The following is an 18,099-nucleotide window of genomic DNA, read 5'->3' on the forward strand; positions in this document are numbered from 1 at the left end:
GCGGTCGGGCGAGGAGGCGGAGCCGGGTGACGTCACCGCTTCCCCCCACTCGCCCTCGCACCGCTTCGCCCCTGGGCCCAAGCCTCTTAAAGGACCCCTGCGCTGCCTCGCGGCGGGGGTGGGGGTCGGCGCTGCCGCGCGCTGGGCTAAAGCTCGAGTCGCGCTCAGATCAGGTGCAGGCGCAGGCGCGCCCCGCCCCACGGCCCCCCCACCGGGCGAGCCTCCACGCCTCCGCCCTGGGAGCCGCCATCTTGCCACTTCCCCTCGCCCGGCCGTCCGCGGGCGTCAATAGCGACTTTCAGCACAAAACAAAGATGGCGGCGGCGGCATCTCGGAAATGCCCGGATGAGACTGCTAACCCCTCCGACGCGCTCGGCCCCGCCCCCTTGGGAACGGTCTCTCGGGTTGATAAGGGACGCACGCCCGAAGAACTGCCTTTAACCAGCACTGGGGACAGCGGCACGCAGGTGGCCGGGGTTGGCGAACAGCCACTGCAGCCGCGCCTGCGGCCGGGAAGCGAGCATTTTCGCGCCCTGCACACCCAGCAGCCGCAGGAGGCGGCCCGAGGCGCGCCGCGGGGGAGCCGGGGGCGGGGCGACAGTGGGAGGCGACGCAGCCGAGCGCCGGCGCCCGGGGGTGGAGCCTCCGCCCGCTCCCAGGCTCCCAGGCTGCGGGGCCCGCCCTCGGGCGCCACCGCCTCCGCCCGCGCCGCAGCAAAATGAGCCGGGCCGCGCGCCCCAGACCGCCGCGCGCTCGGCCGCCCCCACTGCCGAGAGGCCCGCAGTCGGGCCGGTGGCGCACGAGCCGGGCGGGCGACCGCGGGAGGCGTCCGCGTCATCTCGCGTCACCTCGCCCCGCCCGCTTCCCAGGCTTCGAGTCCCGCCCTGCGCGCAGGCGCACCGGCGCTGCTCGGATCCTCCCTTTTCGGAGATTTGAATTTCCCCCAGCGAGGCGAGTGAGGCGAAATACCCGTATGGTGATAGCTGGCCTTTTCGCGCCAATACTGTAAGTGCTCACCGCAGCCCTGGGAGGTGGGTCCCGGCCTCGCCCCCACGTTTCGCCTCCTCTAGGAGGCCGCCCGGGCGCGGCGGCGGCGGCGGCGGCGGCGGCATCCGCCCTGCCACGCGCAGGCCGCAGCGCGGGGACCCAAGCTGCTGCCCGGGAGCGGCAGTCGCCAGTAGAAATGGACAGACCGGTCCTGTCAGAGCCTGTGGCTTTTGTTGTAAACGTCTAGAAGTTCAGTTAAATTACAAGATCTACCAGATCTACCGGCGGGCAGAATTATTACTTTGAAGTTACTGAAGTTATGCGTCCTGCTGGAAGACCTTGTAATTTAATGCGTTAGTAAAGAAGCACACGTCACCCTCTCACACATTTTCAACAATATTTTTAAAGTCGCCTCTCAACATATTACATGTATTTTGTAATCGTCTGTGTTTTAGTTCATGCAGTTGGAAGTATCCATTTGAGAAGGGACAAAGAGAAGAATTCTTGCCTGTCTGTGCCACCACCTGCTCTTTGTGACCTTGGCTAGTTACCTCACATATGTCCCCAAGTCCCCCACCCATGGTAAATAAGAAAACTAAGGCCTGATGCGTTGGCTCATGCCTGTAATCCCAACACTTTGGAAGGCTGAGGTGGGAGGATTGCTTGAGCCTAGCCGGGGCAACATAGCGAGACCCGGAGGCATGGTGGCACACGCCTGTGGTCCCAGGTACTTGGAACGCTGAGGTGGGAGGATGGCTTGAGCCAGGGAGTTCAGGGCTGCAGTGAGCTGAGATCGCGCCACTGCTCCAGCCTGGGCGACAGAGCAAGACCCTGTCTCAAAAACACACACACACACACACACACACACAAAAGCAGCTGCTGGTTTCCAAGGGCCTTGCCTGGAATCAGTCCAGAAGCTAAATTAATGTTAATTGATATTCCTTTATCCACAGAAAGACAGCAAGAAAGGTCATGCGGAGCGGGGGACATAACTAACCATAAATGCTAAAGGCCTGGAGGTGACAGTGCCTGCTGTTTAAACGCGTGCGGGAGAGTCTGGGGCCTTTAGCCAGGAGATTGTCAGGCTTCCCAGGGCTTCCCTGAAAGACCCCAGACCCAGGGGCCAGTGCTGTTGAGGTGTTGGCTTTCCCATGCCAGGCGCTGGGGGAAGCTGTGACGAGATTTGAGTGTCACATAATAAGGATCATGGCAATTCAAAGGTACAGGGAAGCTAGGCTATAAGGTAACCAGCTCGGTTTTCCTGGGGGTCTTGGACAGGTGCTTTGATTACATGGTCACTGTCAGCCCGTACCCCCGGTCAGATAGACTGAACCCCTGCAGCCGGAAAGAGGAGTTGCTTTCCATGCCCTTCCTGGAGTTCTTCCTCGATCAAGTTGACAGTGTTTGACTCTTGTTCCAGCTCTCCGCCCTGCTTGCTGGCAGGCAGGAGGGTCAGACTAGCATGGGTGCCATGGGGCCCTAGGTGGGTGCAGGGAAGGACCTGTAGACGCCATGCGGGGCCTCAGCTGGTGTCTCAGCTGGAGTCAGGAGCTGAACGGGGAAGTGCCTGAGAGGAAATGACAGCTGAGTCAAGGGCAATGGCCAGGCGAAGTGGGCAAAGGGCTTCCAGGACAGAGCTGGGCCTGAGGAGCTCACAGGGCTGGATGGGGATGGCACTTTAAGTCTGGCCAAGACTTTGGGACATGATCCAGGACATGGAATGGGAAGCTGGTCATGGAAGGGTGGAAAGCCAGGGCAGACATGATCCCATCCAGGGCTGCTCAAAGATGCTGGGGCTGCGGTGTGCACACCCCTGGACCCAGAGGCTTTTTTGACTGGGAGGACGGGGCAGGAGGAGTTCGGGTGCCCCATGCTGAGATGGCAGGCTTGTGTGAAGCAAGGACGTATGGAGTGATAGTGAGGACTGTGGTTCCTGTGTGGCAACACCATGCTTCAGAGGGCAATGGGGCACCCACATGCCAAGCCTGGTGGCCCTCCTCAGCAACGGAACTCCAAGGCAAGAAGGCTGAGAATGAGGCCCAGGAGGATGCGGTGGGCCCCAGGACCTGCTTGAGAAGTGAAATAGCAAACAGGACTGGTAAAAGGGAGCAGAGGTGCTGGCTTTGTTCTTTAATATAATTGAATTGAAATTGAGCAGGGCTTCACTGGGCATCTGAGGAAGAGCAAGGAATCAGACCCTGTCCCACCCATTTGGGGCCTAAATTGCAGTAGGGCAGATGGACATTGCACCTCAAAAATAAACAGTGCTTGTCACATGAATCATTTGCAAATATTTTCTCCTATATTGTCTCTTCATTGTTGATTGCTTCTGTGCTGTGCAAAAGCTTTTTACTTTAATATACTCCCATTTGTCTGTTTTTGTTTTTGTTGCCTGTGATTTTGGGGTCTTAGCCATAAAATCTTTCCTGGAGCATTTCCCCATTTTCTTCTAGTAGTTTTATTTTATTTATTTTATTATTTGTATTTATTTATTTATTTATTTTTTGAGACACAGTCTCACTCTGAAACCCAGGCTGGAGTGCAGTGGCACAATCTTGGCTCACTGCAACCTTAGCCTCCTGGGATCAAGCGATTCTCCTGCCACACCCTCACAAGTAGCTGGGATTACAGGCGCATGCCACCACCCTGGCTAATTTTTATACTTTTAGTAGAGATGGGGTTTCACCATGTTGGACAGGCTGGGCTGGAACTCCTGACCTCAGGTGATCTGCCCGCCTCAGCCTCCCAGTGTGCTGGGATTACAGGTGTGAGCCACCACACCCAGCCTTTTTTTTTTTTTTTTTTTTTTTTTTTTTTTAAAGACAGAGTCTTGCTCTGTCGCCCCAGGCTGGAGTGCAGTGGTGTGATCTTGGCTCACTGCAACCTCCTCCTCTTGGGTTCAAGCATTTCTCCTGCCCCAGCCCCCTGAGTAACTGGGATTACAGATGTGCGCCACCACGCCCGGCTACTTTTTGTATTTTTAGTAGAGACGGGGTTGCACTGTGTTGGCCAGGCTGGTCTAGAACTCCTGACCTTAAGTGATCTGCCCGCCTCAACCTCCCAGTGTGCTGGGATTACAGGTGTGAGCCACCGCGCTGGCCTCTTCTAGTAGCTTTATAGTTTCAGGTCTTACTTTTAAGTCTTTAATCCATGTTGAGTTGATTACTGTGTGTGGTGAGAGATAGGGGCCTAGTTTTCATTCTTCTTCACATACTTATCCAATTTTCCCAGTGCCATTTATTGAAGAGACCATCCTTTCCCCAATGTAGGTTCTTCGTGCCTTTGTACTACTTATAATAGCTAAGATATGGAAGCAATCTAAGTGTCCACCAGTGGATTGATATGTAAAGAAAATGTGGTATAGATACATGATGGAATATTATTGAGCCATTTAAAAATAAACTGTTGGCGGGCGCGGTGTTTCAAGCCTGTAATCCCAGTACTTTGGGAGGCCAAGACGGCCAGATCACCTGAGATCAGGAGTTCGAGACCAGCCTGGCCAACATGGCGAAACCCCATCTCTACCAAAAATACAAGAATTAGCCAGGTGTGGTGGCAGGCGCCTATAATCCCAGCTACTTGGGAGGCTGAGGCAGGAGAATTGCTTGAACCTGGGAGACGCAGGCTGTGGTGAGCCGAGATTGTGCCACTGCACTCCAGCCTGGGTGACAGAGCGAGACCCTGTCTCAAAAAAAACCAAAACCAACTATAAAAAATAAAAAAAATAAAAAACTATTGGCTGGGTGCAGTAACTCACGCCTGTAATCCCAGCACTTTGGGAGGCCAAGGTGAGAGGGTCGCTTGAGCCTAGGAGTTTGAGACCAGTCTGGGCAACATAGCAAGACCCTGTCTTTCAAAAAAAATTTAAAAATTTGCCAGGCATGGTAACATGCCTGTGGTCCCATTTACCTGGGAGGCTGAAGTGAGAGGACCACTTGAGCCTGGGAGGTGGAGGCTGCAGTGAGCTGCAATCACACCACTGCACTCAGCCTGGGAGACAGAACGAGACCCTGTCTCAAAGAAATAAACAAACTAATAAGATAAATCTTGTTATTTGTGGCAACATGGATGAGCCTAGAGGACGTTATGTTAAGTGAAATAAGCCAGGAACAGAAAGATAAATATTGTATGTGTTAATTCTTATGTAAAATATTTAAAAAATCAAGCTCATGGAAATAGAAGCATAGTGGGTATTAGAAGCTGGAAAGATTAGAGAGTAGGGAAAGATTCGGAGGAGTCGGATAACAAATACAAAATGCCAGCTTCATAGCATGAATGGATCCTGCTGTTCTGCACTGTAGGGTGAGCACTGTTAACTACAATTTCTTGTGTATTTTCAAAAGACTATAAGAAAGGATTTGGAATGTTCCCAACACAAAGAAATGATAAATGTTCCAGGTGATGGATATGCTAATTACCTTGTTTGATCATTATACATTATATACATGTATCAAAATGTCACTCTATATGCTATTAAAAATAATAAAATAGGCTGGGCACAGTGGTTCACGCCTGTAATCCCGGCACTTTGGGAGGCTGAGGGGGACAGATCAGTTGAGGTCAGGAGTTCAATACCACCCCAGCCGATATGGCAAAATCCCATCTCTACTAAAATACAAAAATTAGCCGGGCGTGATGGCCCGCCTGTACTTCCAGCTACTCGGGAGGCTGAGGCAGGAGAATCGCTTGAACCCGGGAGGCGGAGGTTGCAGTGAGCCGAGATCCTGCCACTGTACCCCAGCCTGCCCCACAGAGCGAGACTCTGTCCCAAAAAATAAATAAAATAGGCCAGGTGTGGTGGCTCACGCCTGTCATCCCAGCACTTTGGGAGGCCGAGGCGGGCGGATCACTTGAGGTCAGGAGTTGGAGACCAGCCTGGCCAACATGGTGAAACCCTGTCTCTACTAAAAAAAATACAAAAAATTAGCTGTGCATGGTGGCGGGCGCCTGTAATCCCAGCTACTCAGGAGGCTGAGGCAGGAGAATCTCTTGAAAACGGGAGGCAGAGGTTGCAGTGAGGCAAGATCACACCACTCCAGCCTGGACAACAGTGCAGACAGTGCAAGATTCCGTCTCAATAAAAAAATAAAATAGGCCAGGCACGGTGGCTCATGCCTGTAATCCCAGCACTTTGGGAGGCCGAAGCAGGTAGATCACGAGGTCAGGAGTTGAAGACCAGCCTGACCAAGATGGTGAAACCCCGTCTCTACTAAAAATACAAAAATTAGCCGGGCTAATTTTAGTTGTAATCCCAGCTACTCAGGAGGCTGAGGCAGGAGAATCACTCAAACCCCGGAGGGAGAGGTTGTACTGAGCCGAGACCACGCCACTGCACTCCAGCCTGGGCGACAGAGCAAGAGTCTGTCTCAAAAAAACAAAATAAAATGAAGTAATAATAAAATAGTGCTAAGTGGTCTGCATATACAGATACTTTTTTTTTTTTTGAGACGGAGTCTCATTCTGTCGCCCAGGCTGGAGTGCAGTGGCACGATCTTGGCTCACTGCAACCTCCGCCTCCCAGGTTTGAGCGATTCTCCTGCCTCAGCCTCCCAAGTAGCTGGAACTACAGGCATGAGCCATCACGCCTGGCTAATTTTTGTATTTTAGTAGAGATGGGGTTTCACCATATTGGCCAGGGTGGTCTTGAACTCTTGACCTCAACTGATCCACCCACCTCAGCCACCCAGAGTGCTGGGATTACAGACGTGAGCCACCACGCCTGGCCACTTTTTTTTTTTTTTTTTTTTTTTTTGGGGGGGAGAGGGAGTTTCGCTCTTGTTGCCCAGGCTGGAGTGCAGTGGCGTGATCTCGGCTCACTGCAACCTCCGCCTCCCGGGCTCAAGCGATTCTCCTGCCTCAGCCTCCCGAGTAGCTGGGATTATAGGCATGTGCCACCACACCTGGCTAATTTTTTGTTTTGTTTTGTTTTGTTTTGTTTTGTTTTGTTTTGTTTTGTTTTTCTGAGATGAAGTCTCACTCTGCCGCCCAGGCTGGAGTGCAATGGCACGATCTTGGCTCACTGCAACCTCTGCCTCCTGGGTTCAAGCAATTCTCCCGTCTCAGCCTCCCAAGTAGCTGGGATTACAGGCGTGCGCCACCACGCCTGGTTAATTTTTTTGTATTTTTGTAGAGACAGGGTTTCACCATGTTGGCCAGACTGGTCTGGAACTCCTGACCTCAAGTGATCCACCCGCCTCTGCCTCCCAAAGTGTTGGGATTATAGGCGTGAGCCACCGTGCCCGGCCTAATTTTTTTGTATTTTTGGTAGAGACGGGGTTTCACCACATTGGCTAGGCTGGTCTCAAACTCCTGACCTCAGATGATCCACCTGCCTCGGCCTCCCAAAGTGCTAGGATTATAGGTGTGAGCCACTGCGCCTAGCTTTTTTTTTTTTAGAGATAGGGTCTTGCTCTGTGGCCCATAGCTCACTGCAGCCTCCATCTCCTGGGCTCAAGTGATCTTCCTGCCTCAGCCTCCTGAGGAGCTGGGACTATAGGTGCACCACCATGCCTGGCTAATTTTTATTTTATTTTTTAAATTTAATTTTATGTATTTTGTGTAGAGACAGGGTCTCACTTTGTTGCCCAGGCTGGTCTCAAACTCCTGGACTCAAGCAGTCCTCTCACCTTGGCCTTCCAAATTGCTGGGATTACAGATGTGAGCCACCATGCCCAGCTACATATGCTTTTTGATGTATAACAGGGTAATGTCCAGATAAACCCATCATAAGTCGAAAATATAGGAACTGGACTTTCAACTTAAGAGGGGTTTAGCTGGGTGCAGTGGCTCACTCCTGTAATCTCAGGACTTTGGGAGGCCAAGGCAGGAGGATCACTTGAGGCCAAGAGTTCGAGACCAGGCTGGGCAACATGGTGAGACCCTGTCTCTACAATTTTTTTTTTTTTTTTTTTTTAGATGGAGTCGCGCTCTGTCGCCCAGGTTGGAGTGCAGTGGCGCGATCTCAGCTCACTGCAAGCTCCGCCTCCAGGGTTCACGCCATTCTCCTGCCTCAGCCTCCCGAGTAGCTGGGACAACAGGCGCCCACCACCACGCCTGGCTATTTTTTGTATTGTTTTAGTAGAGACGGGGTTTCACCGTGTTAGCCAGGATGCTCTCGATCTCCTGACCTCGTGATCCACCCGCCTTGGCCTCCCAAAGTGCTGGGATTACAGGCATGAGCCACCATGCCTGGCCCAAAATTTTTTTAACAAAAATTAGCAGGGCAGGCCGGGCGCTGTGGTAGGGAGGCTGAGGTAGGAGAATGGCGTGAACCCGGGAGATGGAGCTTGCAGTGAGCCAAGATCGCACCACTGCACTCCAGCCTGGGCAACAGAGCAAGACTCCGTCTCAAAAAAAAAAAAAAAAATTAGCAGGGCAAGGTGGTGGTATATCCCTGGTCCCAACTACTTGGGAGGCTGAGGCAGGAGGATAGCTTGGGCCCAGGAGGTGGAGGCTGCAGTGAGCTGTGATTGTGCCACTGCACCCCAGCCTGGGCAACAGAGCAAGACCCCCGTGTCTAAATAAAAATACCCAGGCCATGGCAGCAGAAAGCAAGGAAGAAGCCACGTGGAAGCCCTCCTGGCGCTTCTTCCAGGGAGGTGAGCAGAGAGCACCTGGGGCCAGGAGGCGGCATGCCTGGGTTTCTGCTCCTCCTCACTGTAACTTTCAGCCAAGTCAAACTGCTAGAGTTTCAGTTTCTTTATCTGTGAAATGCCGGGGCTGGCACAGATGGTTTCTAAGATCCCTCCCAGGCCTGGAACTTCTAAGCGATTAGGTCAAAGGTGAGCTAACCGGGCTGGGCACAGTGGCTCATACCTGTGAATCCCAGCACTTTGGGAGGCTGAGGCGGGTGGATCACTTGAGGTCAGGAGTTCAAGACCAGCCTGGCCAACGTGGTGAAACCCCAACTCTACTAAAAATAGAAAAGTTAGCCGGGCATGGTGGTACACGCCTCTAATCACCGCTACTAGGGAGGCTGAGGCAGGAGAATCACCTGAACCTGGGAGGCGGAGGTTGCAGTGAGCCAAGATTGTGCCACTGCACTCTAGCCTGGGCAACAGAGTGAGACTCCGTCTCAAAAAAAAAAAAAAAGGTGCACAAACCGAGGCCCAAGACAGTTAAGGTGCAAGATCACATGGTTAGTAAGTGGGAGAGCCAAGGTTTGAACAGTCTGGCATCAGCTGACCAGGAACTGGAGCCCACCCTTCTCTCTCCCTGAGCCCGCCTACCCGCCCACCCTCTTGAGTGCGAAATTTATTAATATGGAAGGGAGAAGAGCTTTAATGATTGGAGTCATTTTCAGAGCATTAAAGCTCTTCTCCCTTCCATATTAATGTATTTCTCAGCTACTAGGGCTCACTTACAGCACCAGTGGCCCCAAAGCAGTTGACAGTCAGTGGTAATTAAATTGTCTCTCTGGTTCTGTGACTGAAGGAGACAGAAGGCTTTATGGTGGCCTGAGGAAAGAAGGTGATTTGGGGCTTGGCACTTCAGGAGAGGGCAGGCGAGTGAGCCAGGGAAGCTGGCCTGGGAAGCCTGCGGGTCACCCCCTTGCCTCCCGGCCTGGTGCTTGAGTGGCAGACGGTGAATCCTCCTCCTCCTCCATCCCCCACCTTGTGTCAGAGGCCAGAGCTCGGACTCCATCTAATGGTCTCTAGTTCAGCTGGGTATTTGGTGAAAAGGGCTTTGGGGCTGGAGACGTCCACTTTTATAACACACTGACATGGGAAGGCGCATTCTGAGTTGTAATGACAGAGCTAGACAGGTCTTGTCTGTAGATGCAGTGGCTTTAAGGAAACTAGGACGATGGGCAGGATTTTCCTAGGTGCCAGGAGAAAGGGGTGATAGAGGATTCTAGAGGCTTGAGAGAGTCAGTGTGCAGCGGTTTCACTCTGATTTGCTTCTCCAGTGAAGATGGTTGGTAGCTCCTGAGGCCGGGGGTCAGGAACATGGAGGCGGTGCTGGGGACGGTTTGTTTTCTAACCACACTCCTTTTGTAACCACAAAGGAAAAAGGCAGAACGTTCCTCCGCTGGCGCCAGCCAATCAGCAGGACTCCTGCCTTCCTTCGGGGCAAGGTCGCAGCATCTGCCTCGGAAATCACGAAATCACGGGGCTTCTTTCTGCTGGCTCAGCCGGGAGGCCCAGAGTGTTCTGCAGAGGCTGCGTATTGAAGGCTGCTCTCTGAAGCTCCCTGCCCCAGGTCACGCCGCCGGTTCCAGATGAATCCAGAGTGGGGGCAGGCCTTCGTGCACGTGGCCGTGGCCGGTGGCCTCTGTGCCGTGGCTGTGTTCACGGGCATTTTCGACAGTGTTTCCGTGCAAGTGGGCTATGAGCACTACGCCGAGGCGCCCGTGGCCGGCCTCCCTGCCTTCCTGGCCATGCCGTTCAACTCACTCGTGAACATGGCCTACACGCTGCTGGGGCTGTCGTGGCTGCACAGGGGCGGCGCGATGGGGCTGGGTCCCCGCTACCTGAAGGACGTGTTCGCAGCCATGGCCCTGCTCTATGGCCCCGTGCAGTGGCTGCGCCTGTGGACGCAGTGGCGCCGTGCCGCGGTGCTGGACCAGTGGCTCACACTGCCCATCTTTGCATGGCCCGTGGCCTGGTGCCTCTACCTAGACCGCGGCTGGCGGCCCTGGCTGTTCCTCTCTCTTGAGTGCGTCTCCCTGGCCAGTTATGGCCTCGCTCTGCTGCATCCCCAGGGCTTCGAGGTCGCACTGGGTGCTCACGTGGTGGCCGCTGTGGGGCAGGCGCTGCGCACCCACAGGCACTATGGCAGCACCACCTCGGCTACCTACTTAGCTTTGGGGGTGCTCTCTTGCCTGGGCTTTGTGGTCCTCAAGCTGTGTGACCATCAGCTCGCACGGTGGCGTCTCTTCCAGTGCCTCACAGGCCACTTCTGGTCCAAGGTCTGTGACGTGCTCCAGTTCCACTTTGCGTTTTTGTTTCTGACGCATTTCAACACTCACCCAAGATTCCATCCCTCTGGCGGGAAGACGCGTTGAACCCAGGGAAGAACCTGCTGAAAACCGATGACCCCCAGCATTGAAATGGACTCTGAGATGGCAGCGTGGTGCCAGTGTCAGACATCCTGTGTGTGATGATATGCACTGATCACACAAGACTGCCCTTTCCTGAGAAGCTGCGGGCTTCGGTGTGGAGGGGTGGAGTGCTGTGATCTCGACAACTTACTTTCAAAGACATAAAGCACAGATCTCCGCACAGGGGATGTGTGTGTTCCTGATGTAATTTGCATAACTTTTCTGTAGTTTGAAATGTTTCCAAATAAATATTGGCAAGGGGAGTGGAAATGACACCAAGAAGCCCCTCATGCTCATGGTTGGACAGAGAGCGATCGTCTGGAGTATCTTTGGGGTGTCAGCTCTGGGTGTGGACTGGCAGCAGTGAGGCAGGCCAGTCAGTGGGGTACCAGTGAGTGTCCTTAGAGGCGGCTGGATTCAGGGAGACTGAGTCACACTAAATACGTGCCCAGCAGACTGATGGGGAAATCACTCAATTATCCCCATGACATCTGTGACTGTTAACTGTAGGCAGGTCACGTGAGAGCCACATCACCTCAGATCGTCTGTGGAACCAGGCAGTGTGCATCCAGATGAGGAAACACACAAATGTCAAAAGTTGAACTCTCAACAGAAAGTTGCTTTGTGGGTCTCCCCTCAGAGCCAGGGTGTGGCTTAGATGCCCTTAGTGGCTACAGTCTGAGCAGTCCCCACCTGCCCGTCACCCAGGTCCTTGCGAACCAGTCTGCTGACAGTATCGTCAGGCACTGTGCTGGAGGCGGCACGTGCTTCTCATGCAGGCAACAGTTTTTGAGCCCTCGAGCCCAAGGCCCAGACTCTCTAGTTTGTGGTCAGGATGCTGGGTCATTCTTAGCCGCAGCCAGAGAGGCACTGAGGACTCCGTGCCACCCTCTCTACTCCCGGGACAGTCCTTCCTGCCGGTCACTATGTTACTTAGAGGCCTGCCTCACCTCCTTTCATCTGAAGGCATCTGGTCTGTAAAGGGGACTTCCTTTTTTCGAGACAGAGTCTTGCTCTGTTGCCCAGGCTGGAGTGCAATGGTGTGATCTTGGCTCACTGCAACCTCTGCCTCCCGGGTTCAAGCGATTCTCCTGCCTCAGCTGCCTGAGTAGCTGGGATTACAGGCACCCACCACCACGCCCGGCTAATTTTTGTATTTTTAGTAGAGACGGGGTTTCATCATGTTGGCCAGGCTAGTCTCTAACTCCTGACCTCAGGTGATCCGCCCGCTTCGGCCTCCCAGTGCTGGGATTACAGGCATGAGCTCCCGCGCCCGGCCTGTAAAGGGGACTCCTGAAGACAGGTAATGTCATTTAACTCAGGGGCTCTTCATCCCAGACTCCATAGTCTTGTCCCTGGAGCCTTAAGTACTAAGGAGGGTCTGCTTTAAGCCCACAAATTAAATGGAGAAGTGACCAGCTCCAAAGGTGAGGGCAGAGGAGAGAGGATGCCCTGTCCCTGCCAAATGGCATCTCAGCATGGGCCACCCATGTGCACCTGCTCAGTGCCCTCGAGGTTGGCATTCGGCCCACGACTGTGATGACTGAGATGTTTCTGGAACTGGGCACCTGGGCTGGATGTTCTGTCCTGGCTGGCTGAGCACATTGCCACCAGGTAAGGACCTGGGGCAAATGGCAGGACCCGACCCAGGGCTTGGGGCCTGGGGGTGGGGCACGTGGTTGGCAGGGGAGAGCAAGGACAGCACCTGCTTGGGAAACAGCCTGGTTCCATTTGAGGTCGTCTCGAAAGCACCATGTGCCCTAGAAGAGGGAAGAGGCTGCACACATCACCAGAGAGGCCACCCTTACTTCACAGAGGCTGGAGGGAGGGCGAAAAGAAGGCGGGCTTCCATGCGGGCTCAGAGACAGGGTGGGGGCAGGCTCTTCATCCAGCAGTGGGGGATCCCCTTTTGTGATTTCTCTGTGAGTAGCTGTTTCCCTCATTGACAGAGGACTGCTGGGACTTCATGCCACACCTCGCAGCAACAAGCACTCATCACGATTTTACTTTTTCTTCCTACCAATACCTGTGTAATAAACAGCCCTGCGAGCCTCCTGGGTCAGGCGGGGTCCCACGGGAAACAGGTGGTGTGCCTAGATTGGGGTGATTCAGGGCGGTTTTGTGGGACACCTGGAAGAGTGGACCCCACCCAAAGGAGAGGCTTATGTGGAGGGGACACCTCCAGAGGGGCAGGGACTGCAGGAAGCCTGGCTCCGCTCCCTCCCTCTCCTGCCAGAGTTGCCAGATTATACGCCAGGCGATGAACAATGGTTTTGCACAAGCGTGTCTCAAATGTTGCATGAGACATTTCTCCTACTAAAAAAGTATTGTTTACCTGAAATTCAGATTTCACTGGGTGTTCTGATTGTTATTTGCTAAATCCAACAACCACGTCCTGAGCCAACACAAGCAGAGCCAGAAGCCCCGGAACCTGCGCAAGGCAGAGCAGGTGGCAAAGAAGGCTCCAGGCAGGCCCCGGCCTGGAACCTGCACTCCCCAGGCCCTTTTTGAAATTAGTGTTTCTCCAAGTATGGCCAGTTGCCATTAGTCACACAGCTTCCTGCATCCCTTCCTGCCCAGGCGAACCCCCCTTCTGGGGCCGGGACCTCAGAGTGCCTCAGCCCTGGCCCGGGGTTTGCGGATTCCACCAACCCCTGAGCCACTGGAGGAAGGAGGCTGGCGGCTGTGCCTCCCTCCAGCTCTGCAGTCCACGGAGGAGCTCGGCCTCGCCCAGGGGGATTGGCTGTCAGGGCCGCCGTTGCCGTTACTGGTCTTGGTCTCAGTCTCGCTGCTCCACTGCGTCCCCAGCACAGCTGGGGAGCCAATGGTTGCCAGATGGGGCCTCTCCCCGACCTTTGACCTAACGGTTTAGAGGTTCCAGGCCTGGGAGGGATCTTAGAAACCATCTGTGCCAGCCCCGGCATTTCACAGATAAAGAAACTGAAACTCTAGCAGTTTGACTTGGCTGAAAGTTACAGTGAGGAGGAGCAGAAACCCAGGCATGCCGCCTCCTGGCCCCAGGTGCTCTCTGCTCACCTCCCTGGAAGAAGCGCCAGGAGGGCTTCCACGTGGCTTCTTCCTTGCTTTCTGCTGCCATGGCCTGGGTATTTTCTCCCCACATAAAATAGTTTTAGGGCCTGGCGCTCTGGCTCACGCCTGTAATCCCAGCACTTTGGGAGGCCAAGGCGGGTGGATTATCTGAGGTCAGGAGTCCGAGAGCAGCCTGGCCAATATAGTGAAACCCTGTCTCTACTAAAAATACAAAAAATTAACCAGGCATGGTGGTGGGTGCCTATAATCCCAGCTACTCGGGAGGCTGAGGCAGGAGAATCGCTTGAACCTGGGAGGCAGAGGTTGCAGTGAGCCGAGATCACGCCACTGCACTCCAGCCTGGGCAACAAGAGCGAAACTCTGTCTCAAAAACAAACAAACACACACACACACAAAAATAGTTTTAAGCCCGGTGCAGTGGCTCACGCCTGTAATCCCAGCACTTTGGGAGGCTGAGGCGGGTGGATCACCTGAAGTCATGAGTTCAAGACCAGCCTGGCGAACATGACAAAACCCCATCTCTACTAAAAATACAAAAATTAGCTGGGCATGGTGGTGGGAGCCTGTAATCCCAGCTACTTGGGAGGCTGAGGCAGGAGAATCGCTTAAATCCGGGAGGTGGAGGTTGCAGTGAGCTGAGATCGTGCCATTGCACCCCAGCCTGGGCAACAGAGTGAGACTCCATCTCAAAAACAACAACAAAAATAGTTTTAGGCCAGGCGCAGTGGCTGATGCCTGCAATCCCAGCACTTTGGGAGGCTGAGAAGGAAGAATTGCTTGACCTCAGGAGTTTAAGACCACCCTGGACAACGTAGGGAGACCCCATCTCTACCAAAAATAAAAAAAATTAGCTGGGCTTGATGGTGTGTATTTGTAGTCTCAGCTACTCAGGAGGCTGAGGTGGGGAGGATCACTTGAACCCAGGAGATCCAGGCTGCAGTGACACAGTTGTAATAAGATGGCATCACTGCACTCCAGCCTGGGTGACAGAGCAAGACCCCATCTCAAAAAAACAAAAAAATTACAGCATAGGGCACACACTATCATGCATTCGCTTTTCTGGGCCCCATTTTGGCTTGGTGACGTGCCAAGGTCTGCTAGAAACTGCACACACTGGCCCGGAGCAGGCCCTTCTCCAGTTAGGTCTCAGGAGTGGGATTGTAGGGCTGAAGGGAACTTCAGTTTCAAATCCCTGGAGTGCTTTTCCCAGTGACGTTCTTGATTCACATCTCTAGCAGCAATGTGAGAGGCTTCTCCGCCCCCCACCAGCAAATGTCAGGGTGGGTGCATTTTCATGGTGTGCCAATCTGATGAGGGTGACATGAGATTTCATTGTGACTAACTCAGACCCCTTCCCCTCTCTCACCGACCCCCCGCCAAAAGTAGTGTGTGTGCATTTTTGAGACAGGGTCTCCCTGTGTCCCCCAGGCTGGAGTGCAGTGGCGCAATCATGGTTCACTGCAGCCTTCAACTCCCAGGCTCAAGAGATCGTCCCACCTCAGCCTCCCAAGTAACTGGGACTATGGGCGCAGGCCACCATCCCTGGCTAATTCTTTTGTTTTGTTTTTGTTTTTGTTTTTTTGAGATGGAGTTTTGCTCTTGTTGCCCAGGCTGGAGCGCAATGGCGCAATCTTGGCTCACTGCAACCTCTGCCTCCTGGGTTCAAGCGATTCTCCTGTGTCAGCCTCCCGAGTAGCTGGGATAACAGGCATGCGCCACCATGTCTGACTAATTTCTGTATTTGTAGCAGATACGGGGTTTCTCCATGTTGGTCAGGCTGGTCTTAAACTCCCGACCTCAGGTGATCTCACCTCGGCCTCCTAAAGTGCTGGGATTACAGGTGTGAGCCACTGCACCCAGCCTCCCTGGCTAATTCTTAAAAAAAAAAAAAAAAAAAAGAAAATTTTTTTTTAAAATTACTATGAAATGTATTATTTGTTATTAAGTTACAAATTTTTTTTTTTTTTTTTTGAGACGGAGTCTCGCTCTGTCGCCCAGGCTGGAGTGCAATGGCGCGATCTTGGCTCACTGCAACTTCCGCCTCCCAGGTTCAAGCAATTCTCCTGCCTCAGCTTCCCAAGTAGCTGGGATTACAGCTAAAATTAGCCCGGCTAATTTTTTTGTATTTTTAGTAGAGATGGGGTTTCACCATGCTGGCCAGGCTGGTCTCGAACTGACCTCATGATCCACCCGCCTCGGCCTCCCAAAGTGCTGGGATTATAGGCATGAGCCACCGCGCCTGGCCAGAGCCCAGCCTAATTCTTACATTTTTTTTCTAGAGATGGGGTCTCTCTGTGTTGCCCAGGACCACACTCCTGCCTTGCCCTCAAAGTGCTGGGATGACAGGCATAAGCCACTGTACCCAACCTCCTCATTTTGTCCTCGGACTCCTGGGCTAAAGCAATCCTCCCACCTTGGCATCCCAAAGTGTTGGGATTACAGGTGTGAACCACTACACCCAGCCTATTGTTTGTCTTCTGAAGATTTATGTGGTCATGCATGTCTGTCTTTTTCTTCGTAGCTTTCGGGGTTGGTCTTCCTTAAAGCAGTTTTCTGAGTGTCTAGGTAACACTTGTCTGTACCTCAGCTAACTTTGTTAAATCTCAGCATCGCCTGTAGCTGCTTCAGATGTTTTTATTATAACATTTTCATTATAAAATTATTAGATAGTTAAAAATTATGTTTATAAAGAAAACAATGCGGCTGTCACATTGCTGACATGACGGTTTACGTAACTATAGTGAAGTAGTGCACTTGGTGAGGGAGGGAAATGCCAGCACGCTTGGGCAAGGTGCCTCATTGCAGCCTGGGAGAACGAAGGTGGGTGAGGCATTTCCCTCCCACGCCGAAGGCCTCCGGGAATAGAAATACCGGGTAAATATCCACTGGCCAGTTCGTATCCTCCAGTGGGTCATCATGTGATTGGGGAGCGCTTCTTCCCATTCAAAGGGGATCTTTGGGGACCCGGGTTTATGGAACCCTCTCTGCGTTGGTCCTGGGGGCTGCTTCTCTGTTCAGTGACCCTGTGACTGGAGGGCACTGCCTTGGCCCGGCGCGTGGCCATCTTGTTCCTAGGGTCACTGGAGCCTGATTGCTGTGGTGGCACGCCAGGTCCTTCAAAGCTTTCATGTTTTTATTTTATTATTATTTCTTTTCTTTCTTTCTTTCTTTCTTTCTTTCTTTTTTTTTTTTTTTGAGACTGAGTCTCACTCTGTCGCCCAGGCTGGAGTGCAATGGCGCAGTCTCAGCTCACTGCAACCTCCGCCTCCCATGTTCAAGCGATTCTCCTGCCTCAGCCTCCTGAGTAGCTGGGATGACAGGCATGAGCCACCACGCCTGCCCTATTTTATTATTATTTTAAATTTTATTTTAGTTTCGGGGGTACATGTGCAGGTTGGTTCCATAGACAAATTGCATGTTGTGTGGGTTTTGTGTACAGATTATTTCATCACCCAGGTATTAAATAGTAAGCCTCATACCCAATAGGTGATTTGTTTCTGTTTTTCTAGCCTTTCCTTCCATTGCCGGCCTTTCACTTTGATCTTTGCTGTCTGTTTCTCTTTGGAACCGCTGACTTCTGGTTTTGCTCTTGCCTCTTCTCGGCCCCACTTGACCTCCACTGGGGCCTGGGCTAGCTTGTGTGTGCCGCCACCATCTCGGCCAGCTCAGGTCTGTTTCTTTGGAAGATTCTGTGCCCCTCCCATGCCTCTCCTGCATGTGGCCCATGCACAGTAGTGTGTGGCTGCCCTCGCCCTTGTGTGTGGGTTTTTTGTTGTGTTGTTGTTGTTTTGTTTTGTTTTGTTTTGTTTTTGAGATGGAGTCTTGCTCTGTCACCCAGGCTGGAGTGCAGCGGCACAATCTCGGCTCACCGCAACCTCCTCCTCCCAGGTTCAAGTGATTCTCCTGCCTCTGCCTCCTGAGTAGCTGGGATTACAGGCGTGCACCACCATGCCCGGCTAATTTTTGTATCCTTAGTAGAGATGAGGTTTCAGCATGTTGGCCAGGCTCGTCTCGAACCC

At 53.1% G+C, this 18,099-nt stretch overlaps 1 protein-coding gene and 2 non-coding genes across 3 annotated transcripts, besides 9 other annotated features; 2 read left to right on the plus strand and 1 right to left on the minus strand.

The window, feature by feature from the left end:
- Positions 44–283: a silencer, noted in NCBI's record as "silent region_21077". NCBI's record gives its function as "represses an Ori minimal core promoter by ATAC-STARR-seq in GM12878 lymphoblastoid cells {active_cell/tissue: GM12878}" and the evidence as "EXISTENCE:reporter gene assay evidence [ECO:0000049][PMID:35858748]".
- Positions 514–963: a silencer, noted in NCBI's record as "silent region_21078". NCBI's record gives its function as "represses an Ori minimal core promoter by ATAC-STARR-seq in GM12878 lymphoblastoid cells {active_cell/tissue: GM12878}" and the evidence as "EXISTENCE:reporter gene assay evidence [ECO:0000049][PMID:35858748]".
- Positions 899–11,339, plus strand: TMEM187 (transmembrane protein 187). The gene is made up of 2 exons (NM_003492.3): positions 899–1,005; positions 9,995–11,339. Exon 2 carries the CDS (start codon positions 10,208–10,210, stop codon positions 10,991–10,993), a length of 786 nt encoding a protein of 261 aa, NP_003483.1. The 5' UTR covers positions 899–1,005; positions 9,995–10,207; the 3' UTR covers positions 10,994–11,339.
- Positions 1,074–1,183: a silencer, noted in NCBI's record as "silent region_21079". NCBI's record gives its function as "represses an Ori minimal core promoter by ATAC-STARR-seq in GM12878 lymphoblastoid cells {active_cell/tissue: GM12878}" and the evidence as "EXISTENCE:reporter gene assay evidence [ECO:0000049][PMID:35858748]".
- Positions 8,619–8,728: an enhancer, noted in NCBI's record as "active region_30047". NCBI's record gives its function as "activates an Ori minimal core promoter by ATAC-STARR-seq in GM12878 lymphoblastoid cells {active_cell/tissue: GM12878}" and the evidence as "EXISTENCE:reporter gene assay evidence [ECO:0000049][PMID:35858748]".
- On the plus strand, positions 9,242–9,322 carry MIR3202-1 (microRNA 3202-1). Its single transcript, NR_036174.1, has one exon. It is a non-coding gene; the product is annotated as a microRNA 3202-1 (primary transcript).
- Positions 9,243–9,321, minus strand: MIR3202-2 (microRNA 3202-2). Its single transcript, NR_036175.1, has one exon. It is a non-coding gene; the product is annotated as a microRNA 3202-2 (primary transcript).
- Positions 12,536–12,585: an enhancer, noted in NCBI's record as "active region_30048". NCBI's record gives its function as "activates an Ori minimal core promoter by ATAC-STARR-seq in GM12878 lymphoblastoid cells {active_cell/tissue: GM12878}" and the evidence as "EXISTENCE:reporter gene assay evidence [ECO:0000049][PMID:35858748]".
- Positions 13,428–13,787: an enhancer, noted in NCBI's record as "active region_30049". NCBI's record gives its function as "activates an Ori minimal core promoter by ATAC-STARR-seq in GM12878 lymphoblastoid cells {active_cell/tissue: GM12878}" and the evidence as "EXISTENCE:reporter gene assay evidence [ECO:0000049][PMID:35858748]".
- Positions 13,428–14,162: a biological region, named in NCBI's record as "CRISPRi-validated cis-regulatory element chrX.2695". NCBI's record gives its function as "regulatory_interactions: ABCD1 | IRAK1".
- Positions 13,437–14,162: a transcriptional cis regulatory region, noted in NCBI's record as "candidate enhancer chrX.2695 targeted for multiplex CRISPR interference". NCBI's record gives its function as "positively regulates ABCD1 and IRAK1 gene expression with high confidence in K562 cells {active_cell/tissue: K562}" and the evidence as "EXISTENCE:mutant phenotype evidence [ECO:0000015][PMID:30612741]".
- Positions 13,958–14,087: an enhancer, noted in NCBI's record as "active region_30050". NCBI's record gives its function as "activates an Ori minimal core promoter by ATAC-STARR-seq in GM12878 lymphoblastoid cells {active_cell/tissue: GM12878}" and the evidence as "EXISTENCE:reporter gene assay evidence [ECO:0000049][PMID:35858748]".

This window comes from Homo sapiens, chromosome X (assembly GCF_000001405.40).
Source record: "Homo sapiens chromosome X, GRCh38.p14 Primary Assembly".
Taxonomy (NCBI): domain Eukaryota; kingdom Metazoa; phylum Chordata; class Mammalia; order Primates; family Hominidae; genus Homo; species Homo sapiens.

Excerpts from the sequence above, each read along its gene's own strand:
- TMEM187 (NM_003492.3), top strand. The coding sequence starts at position 10,208 with ATGAATCCAGAGTGGGGGCAGGCCTTCGTGCACGTGGCCGTGGCCGGT.